The sequence below is a fragment of the Homo sapiens genome, chromosome 13 (genome assembly GCF_000001405.40).
Source record: "Homo sapiens chromosome 13, GRCh38.p14 Primary Assembly".
NCBI lineage: Eukaryota > Metazoa > Chordata > Mammalia > Primates > Hominidae > Homo > Homo sapiens.
Genome location: NC_000013.11, coordinates 75,380,799 through 75,393,459, shown reverse-complemented (window position 1 = coordinate 75,393,459; position 12,661 = coordinate 75,380,799). Strand labels below are relative to the sequence as shown.

Below are 12,661 nucleotides of genomic sequence, written 5' to 3'. Positions count from 1 at the left end.
AAGGATATTCACCATCCATTCAGACTTGTAAAATGTTTGGAGCGGAGCCTGGCAGACAATATGTCCCATACAATTTTTATTATATAAATATTAAGAACTGAGACAGTATTAATTGTTCTACTGAAATGATGATTAAATGTAATATTCCAGAGACCAGCCTGGGAGAATGGGGGTGAAATGTGTGAATGTAAGGGTGTTAGCAGTGTCTAAGAGATGACTATCTACCTCTTGTTTAAAGAGTTTGGTAGCAAAAGGAAGGAAAAAACAAAACCAAATGCAGTAGTAAGAGCAAACAAAGACTGAGTGTGTGTGTGTGTGTGTGTGTGTGTGTGTGTGTGTGTGTATTTTAATTTAAATTTATGTATTTTTTGACATTACAAAAGAGATGACGCCCATAGAGAAGAAATGACTGCAGGTCTACATAAGGAAGGGTATACTGTAGGATTTGGAATTCTAGCAAAATAGAGATGGATTAAGGGCTCAGCAAAATGAAAGGAATAACTGTAAATCAGAGAAAAAAGGCTAGGTACAGTGGCTCACTCCTGTAATTCCAGCATTTTGGGAGGCCAAGGCAGGAGGATCACTTAAGGCTAGGAGTTCAAGACAAGCCTGGCAATATATCGAGACCCTATCTCTACAAAAACAAAAATGAAAAACATTAGCTGGTGTGGTGGCGCATGCTTGTAGTCCCAGCTGCTCAGGAGGCTGAGGTGGGAGGATCACTTGAGCCCAGGAATTCGAGGTTGCAGTGAGCTGTGATTCTGCCACTGCACTCCAGCTGGGGGAACAGAGAGAGACTCTGTCTCTTAAAAAAGAAGAAGGTGAAGAAGTAGGACGAGGAGGAGGAGGGGGAAGAAGGGGAGGGGGAGGAAGAACGGAAAGAGTAAGAAGAAGAAAAGGAAAAGGAAAGGAAAATGTCTTCAGTGTATGAGAGGACAGAAGGAGGGACAGTGCGATATTAAAGTGGAATGAGGAGCACATGAGAACATTGATGTGAGGTTGTCTTGCAAGTGCCAGTGAATTAAAAGTGGATTGTCTGCTGTGAGGGTCTTCTCTTCTTTCAGATGACTAGAGAATAAATGAAATATAGGAAATGATCAGCTGAGGGGTGTGATGGAGAATGAATGCTGGTAAGGAAGTAGAAATAAAGTGAGAAGGAGGATATACTAATATTTGGAACATACTGTTTGAACTTTAAAATAGGGTGATTTTTGCATTTATTTTGTGTGCATTTTAAAATACGGCCTTTTGGTTATTTATCCAACACATATTTATATGTTTAATTATTCAGCAAATATTTGTTGAAAATCTTTGGTTTTATAGGGCTTCTGTTTTATCATGGGAAGACAGACATTAAAAAGATAAAAAAGTACAATATTATAGCATGCTAAGTGGTGAGAAGTGCTTAGGATAAAAATTTTACAGGAAAGGGGTTGGGGAGAAAGGAAGAGAAGGACTGAGAAAAAGAAATGATGAAAGACTGGAAAAAGAATGAGAGAAAGCGAGAGAGAGGGTTTCAGTGAGTGTGGCCAATGGAGTTGTCACTGGAAAGACAACAGGTGAGTAAAGATCTAAAGAGAGGGACAGGACTTCCATGGCCACAGGAGGAAGCCTCCTGCTCTGTGGAGGAGCAGTCAGGAGGCCACATGGCTGGAGTGGACTGAGTAAGGGAGAGTGGCAGGCGAGGAGCTCAGAGAGGGAGTAGGGCATCAGATGGTGCAGGGTCTTGTAAACCAGAAGACTGCATGAAATGACTAAGTGGAGCAAGTGTAAATAGAAAAGAGGAAAGGGCCAATCATAGAGCCCTGGGTAGCCCCAAGGATTAGAGTTCTGAGAGATGAGAAGGAATAAGAAAAGGAGTCTGAAGGAGAGCCAGTGAAGTGGAGAAAACCTAGCACAGTGAAGTGTCCTGGTAGCCAAGTGAAAGAAGTATGTCAAAGTTGAGGAAGTGCTCTCTTCTGTCAAATGTACTCCATGGGTCTAATATGATAGGGACTGGGAATTAACCGTTGGGTTTAGCAATGTGGCAGTCATACCGGCTGCTTTGCTGGGGTGGCGGGAGTAATTGCCTGATGTTATATGGGTTCAAGAAGGAAAGGGAGGAGAGAAATCACAGATAGCAAATGCAGGCAACTCTTTTGGAGTTTAACTGCATCTAGGAGGAGAGAATTGGCGTAGTAGTTAGAAAAGGAAGTGGGGTCAAAAGAATTCTTTTAGGATGAGAGATAAAAATAGTGTGTGTGTGTGTGTGTGTGTGTGTGTGTAAACTGATGGGGAGGATAGAGTAGAGAAGGAAAAACTGATGTTGTAGAAGAGAGAGGGGAGAACTGCTACAGCAGTGTCTTAAGTGTGCAGGAGGCCATGACATCTGATATACAAGTTGTTTGTGTGTGTGTGTGTGTGTGTGTGTGTGTGTGTGTGTGTGTGGTGGGGGAATAAGTGGCCTTAGCTAGTGTGTTTGTGCATAGTATCAGGAAAGAAGGCATAGTGTAAGCACAGTTAGATGTGAAGGTCAGAACTTGTGGAAGCTCTCTTTGGATATGTATCCAAAGATAATATAGATCCTCACCTTCCCTCCCCTCCCCTCCCCTCCCCTCCCCTCCCCTCCCCTCCCTTCCTTCCTTATCTATCTATCCATCCTCACACAAATACCTATACATACAACATGATTTTCACGCACTAAATAGAAGAGAAAGATGAGGTTTTTCTCTTTTGACAATTGCTGCCTTATATTCCTTGAAGTTTGCTGTTATTTTCTGGTCTTTTTGTAAATCTCTTTGAAGGTCACATGCAGCATCCTTAAGCTTCCATCATTCCAAGTCTTGAGGAATTACTGTTAGCAAGGCAGAGCGTTAGATTCCAGTTCCCTTTCATCTTTGTGTTTTAACTCTGGGGCTGCCATTACTAAATGAGAATGGGAATCTGTAAGTGAGTGAATTGCTGAAGGTGTCAGTGAAACAGTCTGTTAGTGTCAGAAATTAGTATTAGCACCTTTGAGAATACTCTTCAGCAGCCATGGTGTAAGCCCTATTTTTAGGTGATTCCACATCCTAATCACTCTGGATGTAGTCTTGTACCTAATCTCCTGGACCCAGACCTCTTGACCATTGAGACCTGACTGTCAATTTAATCTCTGTTCTGACTTCTTTTCTTTTCTTTCTCCTGTTTTTTTTTTTTTTTTTGACGGAGTCTCTCTCTGTCGCCTAGGCTGGAGTGCAGTGGCGCGATCTTGGCTCACTGCAACCTCTGCCTCCTGGGCTCAAGAGATTCTCTTGCCTTAGCCTCCCTAGTAGCTGGGATTACAGGCGCCCGCCGCCAGGCCCAGCTAATTTTTTTTTGTATTTTTAGTAGAGACGAGGTTTCACCATGTTGGCCAGGCTGGTCTCGAACTCCTGACCCCAACTGATCTGCCTGCCTCGCCCTCCCAAAGTGCTTGGATTACAGGCATGAGCCACCATGCCCAGCCTCTTCTGACCTTTTCATTTTAAATTTTTGGTTTAGTTACCTGTCTTCAGTACTTATTGTTTCTGTTACTTGTAGGGCCCAGACTTCTGGTTTGCTGAGAATTTCCTACCATCTTTAGTGTTTTAACTTGTAAATTTTCTGGCCTTTTCTGCCAACATTGTCTGCTGGTCCTTGTCCACATCTGACTAGCACAATCGTGTTGATGCCTGATATTGTACTGTGTGCAGTAGCCAACCACAGTACCATAATTGGTTGTGATTTTGTAGTTATTTTTATAAATTGTAATAATTCATATGACTAATTTTATCAAAATGATTTCCTAACATTATGGCAATATTTAATTGGTCAAAATATTATTTTTCTTCTATTTTATTTATTTAACCAGTTTAATTAACTGTTTCTCATAATTATTATTTTGTCATTAAAAAATAACAAAAACTAAAACCAATTCTGGAGATACAATAGTTAAATAAAACCAAGCTTTTCTACAAACTATTCTGTTTCTACTTACAGTGCTTTTCTGAAGAAGCAAAGTACATTAAAAAAACTAATAGTAGCCTCAGAATTAAATAAAAGTACACAGAAAAAAGATGTGGTTGTGGCCTAACTTTAATCTGAAACAGAGACAGTATGATGAATAGTTTTGTCTTTTTTTCCAAAATCTCCTTTCAAGGCTGTTTATAATTCATTTTTGGCTACAGGTTAGCTCATTAATATGAACATGATCAGTCTGTAGAATGAATACTCCTGGAAATATATTGGAATCAAGTAAGCAGAGTGCCGTCCTGTTTTAAGTATGACAGGTTAAGAAAAGTCTGGAATATTGCAGTAGGTCTGTTATTTTTAAAAAACAATCACATGCAAAAAATTTGAACCCAGAATAGATGATGGGCAGCAATAGCTACTATTTTAGTGAGCACTTATGCGCCAAGCATGTGTCTGCTCTCATTTAATTTCACAAATCCTTAAAATAATAATTTGAAGCAGATATCAGTAAACCACTTTATGCACAAAAAACTAAAGTTAGAGCTGCTAATAATAAATTTGTACAAGGCTACACAAACCAATAAACTGGAGAGCTGGTATTGGAGCCTGTTTGAACAATGTTGGAAGGCATGAAATTTTAATTATAACCTATATGCACATATGGTGAGCAGATCATTGAATTGGGTCAGTGTTGTCATACTTTATTACTGTGGACATGTGGAAGACTTGAGGACCATAGTACTCAAGTGTGGTTTGAAGAACTCTGGGGTTCCCTGAAATATTTTCAGGGGGTCAGCAAGTCAAAAGTATTTTGATCATAATGTTAAGATGTTATTTGTCTTTTTCACCATGTTGACATTTGCACTGATGGTGCAAAAGCAATGGTAGATGAAACCACTGGCATCTTAGCATGTATCAATGCAGTGGCACCAAACTCTACTAGTGGTCACTGTATTCATCACAATCAATAATTCATAGCAAAAAACCCAGCCAGACCCACTTCAGAATGATCTTCATCTGCTTATTGAATCAGTAGAATTTATTCAGTTTCTTAAAATTTAACCTTTGAGAACACATTTTTAAAAATATAATACATGAGAAAATGGGAATGGCATACCAAATAGAATGCTCATGTAGAGGAAAAGCATTTGCACAATTTTTTGAGTTGTGTGGTAGGCAGAACTATGGCCCCTTAAATATGTGCTTGCCTTCATCCCAGGAACCTATGAATATATTACCTTGTATGTCAGAAGTTAACTTTGCAGATGTGATTAAAGTTAAGGACCTCGAGATGCAGAGATTATCCTGGATTATCCAAGTGGGCCTAATCTAATAACAAGAGTTCTTAACAGGGAAGAGGAAGGTAGAAGATGGGTCAGAGAGATGTGATGTGAGGAGGACTCAACCCGCTATTGCCGGCTTTGCAGGTGGAAGAAGGGGGCCACAAGGCTGGGAATTTGCATGTCTTTTAGAAACTTGGAACAGCCCTCAGGTGACAGCCTGAAAGAAGACCATAAAGAAATGAATTCTCCCCTAGAGATTCCAGTAAGTATCACAGTCTGCCAGCACCATGATTTTGGTCTGATGAGATTGGTGCTAGACTTCTGTCCTGCAGAACTGTAAGGTAATAAATGAAGTTTGTGGTACTTTATTAAGGCAGTAACAGAAAGCTAATACAAGTTGTAAGCTGAACTAGCCTCTTTTACATGGAACACCATTTTTACTTGAAAGAGTGACTCATAACAAAATGTGCTTCTTCAGTCTTGGGTGTTAGGCAGACATAGTCTTGAAAATGAACAAAGTGATCTTGCCACTTAAAGAAAAACAACTGACAGGGTGTATTTAGACTTTTGGAAAAACTTCTGTTTGTCACTGTGAGCTTGATAGTTTGCTGAAGACTTTGATGAGATTGGTGGTGATATTAGTGAATGTGATGTCTTGATAATACCTAATAGAATATGTCAAAATTTGCATAATTCAGTGAACCAATATTTCCCCAAAGATCAGTGTATGAGTTACAAAATCATGCATTGTTAAAAGATTCTTTTGAAGTGCAAGGTAAAGAAGTGGATTTCAATGGGACAGAATGTAGAAAGTTCACTGATATAGTTTCAGATTTCGCATTGCCACAAACCTCTAAGGAACGATCATTCTTTGGTGGATAGTGTCAAAAGATAATATTAACCATTATCTGACAAAGCTCTGAAAATTTGCCCTTTTCCATTTATATATACTTGTGGGACGTTAGATGTTCTTCATGTCATGGCAGATTGAGTGCAGAAACAGATAAGGGAATCCAGCTACCTTTTATTAAGTCAAGTATTACAAAAATGTTAATATAAATCTTTGCACAAACTTTTTTGTTTTAAAAGTGAAGCTATTTTCATAAAATATTTATTATATAATTATTTGTGATTATATTAAGTGAGTTAATAAATATTTTAAATTTTCTCAGTTATAATTTCTAAAATGATAAATATTGATAGATCAAACCATACACACGAAAGCCCTTAGTGGCCTCTCAACAGTTTTCAAGAGTGAGAATTGCTGTTTTAGAAAACACTTGAAAAATAATGATAAAGATCTAAATTATCAACAAGGAAAAATACCTACACCAGGTTTTCAAGCACAAAAAGGAGATCACAAAACTTTTTGTTTAGAATGAGTCTGCGTATTCAAAATTTTATACCTATATTAACTGTTTTAATATTGAGAAATGGCGGAAAGATGTTCACTAAAATTTCAGTAGTGGTATTCTCTGGATGAGTGTTTTTTTTATTTGTACTTGTCTTTATGGTTTTATTATTTCCCAATGAGCATGTATCATGAAAGAAAATAGCAAATCTGAATCCCAGCACTTTGGGAGGCCAAGGTGGGTGGATCACGAGGTCAGGAGATCGAGACCATCCTGGCTAATGTGGTGAAACCCTGTCTCTATTAAAAATACAAAAAATTAGCCAGGTCTGGTGGCGGATGCCTGTAGTCCCAGCTACTCAGGAGGCTGAGGCAGGAGAATGGCGTGGACCCAAGAGGCGGAGCTTGCAGTGAGCCGAGATCACACCACTGCACTCCAGCCTGGGTGACAGTGTGAGACTCCATCTGAAAAAAAAAAAAAAGAAAAAGAAAAAGAAAATAGCAAATCTGTATTAAAAGCACATTTATTATTTTACAACATGCATTTTTATAAGAACTGTGAAGCCAGGTAAAAAGTGTATAATTTATTCATGAAAACTTCTCTTTCATTGCATTCTTTTCCAGAGCTACTAAATGATAGTCATGGTTTTTGGTCCAAATTTATTGCTCAAGGCTTTAATGCAGTAGTTGGCATTTATATGTTTAAGATGGTCTCATTGGTAGCTTGGCCCAGTAGATATTGATATTCATTAATGCAGCAGTGTGTTAACTTCACTCATCCTTTTGTTTTCTGTTTAGTATTTATGGGTAAGCCTTGTAGGGTACAATTAAACTTATGATGTTTATAAAAATATTATAAATTGTTCAGGTTCATAGCAGGACACGAGGGCTTTAGGGTGCACACTGTTAATCATAAGCAAACACTGTCACAGAAATGCAGTGTTTGATGTCTAGTTTCTGTTCTAATCTCATAGTCTTTGATGTTATCATCTCAAGACTGGAAAATGTCATATTCATTTTCTTGATCCAGTTAACATGATTTTATGAGTGGGTTCAATAAATTAGCAGAATATAGGACAGTTTCTTATCAGTAAAATGAGGATAATAATAGAATTACCTCAAAGGATCAAAGGATAGTTGTGAGGATTAAAGGAGATAAAATATATAAAGCATTTAGAACAGTGCCCAGCACGTAAGTGCTCCGTTAGTGATAGCTATTATTATCTAGAAAGTGCACACGTAAGTTCATAGCAAATATTATTTGCAAAGAGCTAACTTTCCCAGATACTCACGTTCAAATTGTTCATGTATTTGCTTTAGCGATGGTCACGCAGAGGCTGTTATCAGCGTCTCTTTTTAGAACAGGCACCTGCTTTTCAGGTGACACTCTTAATTTGATTAATACTGTCTTCTCATATGAAAACACTCTAGGTTCAGGCAAGAACCTGTTTAGTATTGTGATCTAGGAGGGTGAGCAGAACCACCATTTTCTCTTTGATTCTTTGCTTGCTTATTCATTGGTTAGTTCACTTCACAAACGTTTTGCGTGGGAGCCATGTGCTAGGCCTTGTGCTTGGGATAGGTAAGGGGCATGAGACACATCTGTGGGAGAGGAAGATGCCATTGGGTGGCTAAATATAGTGCCATAAGTGCTGTGAGGGGGAAGCACTGGGTTGCTGTGGGTGATTTAGAGGTGTGCATTGCTGCCACAGGCTCTGGGTTAGGGTGCCTTTGGGAAGGGCCATGGAGGGAAGTTTTTTTGAGGGGAGTTGTGAGCAAATAGGCCTCCCAGGCTGCTGAGCAGTGAGCAGTCTATGCTTTGTTCCTCTTTGTTCCTCCTTCTCTGAGGACATCTTATTATCTGCTGATGTGCCTTATGGGCAATTTGCATGGAAGATTTATTAGTCATGTTTTTATGTTCTTCACATTTTATTCACTGGGCTGAAAGAAGCATTTGTGTTTATCCAATATTTATAAGGCAATAAAATTTAAAAATTTTTAAGAATATTTAATAAAGGCATAGAGGTTTCAGAAAGATTTTTCTTCAGTTATTTTAACCATAACTGGAGTTTTAAACATTTAAGGATGATTTTTGTTTGTTTATTTCAGAGTTGTGGAAGGAATAATCTTTCCAAAGTTCTTTTTTTTCTGAATCAGCCCACAAATTCATAGATTAATCATAAGAAAACCATTTAGCTGGTATTTATGTAAAGAAATATGTTATCATCACTGAATTTTCAAATCTTTGGGCTCATATTCCTGTATTTTGCGGTGGCAACCTTTTTTTTTTTTTTAAAGAAACTTTTTTTTTTTCCTTTATCTTTTCTGGTTCCCAAATTAAAGTAGAATTTTGGAGAAACTGGAAAGTTACTGTCAGGTTGACTGGATGTAGTGCTGCAGGGTGTCCAGAAAGGAATATGCAGCTCATTGGAGGTGAGGTTTTTGAGATGGAGTCTCGCTCTGTCGCCCAGGCTGGAGTGCAGCAATCTCAGCTCGCTGCAACCTCTGCCTCCCGGGTTCAAGCGATCCTCCTGTCTCAGCCTCCCAAGTAGCTGGGACTACAGACACCCACCAGCATGCCCAGCTAATTTCTATATTTTTAGTAGAGACGGGATTTCACCATGTTGGCCGGGCTGGCCCTGAACTCCTGATCTCAAGCGATCTGCCCGCCTCAGCCTCCCAAAGTGTTAGGATTCTGTAATCCCAGCACAGGCGTGAGCCACTGCACCTGGCCTGGAGATAAGTTTTCTTTTTATCATTATTATTATTATTTTTTTTTATTATACTTTAAGTTTTAGGGTACATGTGCACAATGTGCAGGTGGTGTGCTGCACTCATTAACTCGTCATTTAACATTAGGTATATCTCCTAATGCTATCCCTCCCCCTTCCTCGGAGATAAGTTTTGAAATGGTTTAAGAGCTGGAGAGCAGCAGATGAGAAAGAATAGTTCAGGAAAACTGGTAGGCCATGTACCCAGGAAATAGATGATGAAGTAAGAATGAGTGCTCAGCAAGGAATTGAGAATCTTGTAGGAGACATAAGGCAAGAAGACCAGTTATATACAGTAGCCCCGCGTTATCAGTGGGGGACACATTCCAAGACCCCTCATGGATGCCTGAAACTGTGAATGGTACCAAACCCTATTTACACTCTGTTTTTTTCCTGTACATATGTACATACATACATACATATGGTAAAGTTTAATAGGCCCAGCAAGAAATTAGCAACAATAATAATAAGACAGAACAATTATAACAATATACTGTAATAAAAATTATGTGAATGTGGACCCTCTCCAAAATGCCTTATTGTACTGTACTGCAGGTAACTAAAACCACAGAAAGTGAAACTACAGATAAGGAGGGACTACTGTACGAGTCCAAATGTATTAAGTGCAATGAGGATAAAAACAAAATGTTTTAGTCATTTATTCAGTAAATAAATAAATTGGTTGAGTGCCTACTATAGCCACGGTTGAGGTGAGGGTAAGATCAATTCTGTTTAAAGAATTCAGAATTCAGGATAGGCTTTTGTTGTTTTTGTTGTTGGGGAGACAAGGTCTCACTCTGTTGCCCAGACTGGAGTGTAGTGGCGCAATCTCAGCTCACTGCAGCCTCCACCTTCTGGGTTCAAGTGATTCTTGTGCCTCAGCCTCCCGAGTAGCTGGGACTACAAGTGCTCACCACCACTCCCTGCTAATTTTTGTATTTTTTGGTAGAGATGGGATTTCACTATGTTGGCCAGGGTGGTCTCAAACTCCTGGCCTCAAGTGAGCCGCCTGCCTCTGCCTCCCGATATGTTGGGATTATGGGCGTGAGCCTCTGTGCTCGACCGAAGATAGGCTTTTGATAGAGTTCATGACATTTAACTTGCCCTTAAAGGGTATACAGAGATAGAATTCTAATGCAGTGCTGTCCAATTAAAATATAATGTGAGGTTCATGTAAACTTTCTAGTAAACAGATTAAAAGAAGTCAAAAGAGACGGGTGAAATTAATTTGAATTGTATATATTATTTAACCCAGTACGCACAGAATATTGTAATTTCAGCATTATAATCAATATAAAATTATTGAGATATTTAACATTTTTCACACTAAGTCCTTGAAATTGACTCTGCATTTTACATGTCAAGCACATAGCACATCTCAATTCAGAAGCTAACTTTTCACTGGAAATATGTGATCTAAATATAGAGTTTATAAAATTTAACAGTTGAAAAACAAAATTCACATACAGTTTGTTCCAGTCATACTTTAAAGTTTTCCAATAACTGAATAGGGCATCTGTTTTAAAATTTTAATGTATATTAAAGTTAATTCAAATTAAAACATCTTTTTCCTAGTCATATTAAATTCATCTCCACCCATGGCTAAAAGCTACCATATTGAATAACACAATTTTAAAGAGCTCGAAAAGAAAGTTTTGTAGGCAGAAAGACCAGTATATGCAAAGGTGTCAAGGAAAAAAGTTGGAGCAGTGTTGAGGAAGCAGCAAGCAGCCCAGTGTAATTTATTTGAAATGAGATAGTGAGAGAAAAACCTGGAATGATATTTGGGAGTCATGGATGCTTAGTCTCCAAATTGGAACTTCATGTAAATAGACATTGGACACTCACAGGTTAAACCTTTTGGGAAAAACTTTATAAGAGGAATGAGAGGCTGCATGTTTTGATTTAGGCTGATTAATCTGGCTGAATTGTTTAGGGTGGATTTGAGAGCCAAGGGGAAGGAGAGAGGCTGGAGGTGAGGATATTAACAAAGAGCTAATCGCCAAGTGGAAAGAGCTAATGAGAGCCTGAAGTAGAAAAGTGCTGGAGATTCCCCATCCTAAAAAGATTCCCTTTTACTGAATCAGCCTCCCTCAATGGGTTTCCTAGTGTTCAACTCTTTCTGTGCTGTTACAAATATTATGTTGTGTCTCTAGTATATTGTCTGCTAGTATTTCATTTATTAATTTCCCATCTATCTCCATAGATTGGTACTGTAAACATGTGGCCGTACAGCACTTATTTCATTGTATCATTGTATATTATTTTGTGTGTTTGGATCTATTCATTTTAGAGTCTGAGCCATCAGCGAAGAGAGACCATTTCATTTTCATGTTTGCATGCTTAGCGCCTAGCATACTTAGGGCCTCTGGTGTTCTGGTTGCACTGAGAAGAAATTCAATAAATGTTTCTTGATTTGACTGAACCTGCAATGATAGTAGTTTGTGGATGGCACAGACTTGGGGATGCCAATAACTTTGACTCATATCTGGGCAATAAGGAAGCAACTGAAGGTGGGGGGTTCATTTCAAGGTGAAGTGCTAGAGGTTTCAAGTCAAATTTTTATTGGGGAAAAGTTGAAGCAACAGTTTGAAGCAGTTTCTGGTATGCCCCTGTTTCTTTTTAAGCATACACAAGAAATTTAAATCATTGGAGAAATCCTATTACTTGATATAGGCAAATATATTACCCCTTACAATTTGTTTAAAATTAGAAATCCTAAAACTGATGGTGAAAAGCCAGGTATAGTTATTTCGACAGTGAATGACTGAGTGGCAGTTATAGGCCATTCACCCACTGGACAAATAGGGACGGTGAGGAAGGACTGGTGTTTGTGGGACATGATGATTTCCTCATAATAAATTGGAGACTTTTTGTACATCATGGAGTTAGTTGATAATGAAGAGGAGGTGGAGAAAAATAGTTAATATTTATTAATTTTATTTACAAGTTAATTCATCCACTTTATTAACATTATTAAGAACCTATGTTAGATACAATGTTAGGTGCTTTATACAAACTTTATTCTCACAGTTTTTATAGGTTACAGGTATTATCCCTATTTTATAGAGGATGATACTGAAGTTAAGAGAGTTTTAAAAGTGTGCCAAAAATCACATAGTAAGTGATCTAGCTGGGAATGGAACCCAGATCTGTCTTACTGTAAAATTTTGACCATTTATAATTGGGCATAGTAGATGTTACAGAGAGGGCATTTTGGAGTTAAAAAAAGGTAGGGGGAAAGGTAAGGATCTTTTTCTAGAACAGAAGCTCCTCTTCTGTTCATTTGGATGGTGATGATGAAA

The 12,661-nt window shown here is 38.4% G+C and overlaps 1 protein-coding gene across 10 annotated transcripts in view, besides 2 other annotated features; it reads left to right on the top strand.

Annotated features, from left to right (window-relative positions):
• Positions 1-12,661, top strand: part of TBC1D4 (TBC1 domain family member 4) — a 198,667-nt gene that overhangs the window by 88,710 nt on the left and 97,296 nt on the right. The window lies entirely within an intron of this gene.
• Positions 1,995-2,044: an enhancer, noted in NCBI's record as "active region_7825". NCBI's record gives its function as "activates an Ori minimal core promoter by ATAC-STARR-seq in GM12878 lymphoblastoid cells {active_cell/tissue: GM12878}" and the evidence as "EXISTENCE:reporter gene assay evidence [ECO:0000049][PMID:35858748]".
• Positions 8,054-8,103: an enhancer, noted in NCBI's record as "active region_7824". NCBI's record gives its function as "activates an Ori minimal core promoter by ATAC-STARR-seq in GM12878 lymphoblastoid cells {active_cell/tissue: GM12878}" and the evidence as "EXISTENCE:reporter gene assay evidence [ECO:0000049][PMID:35858748]".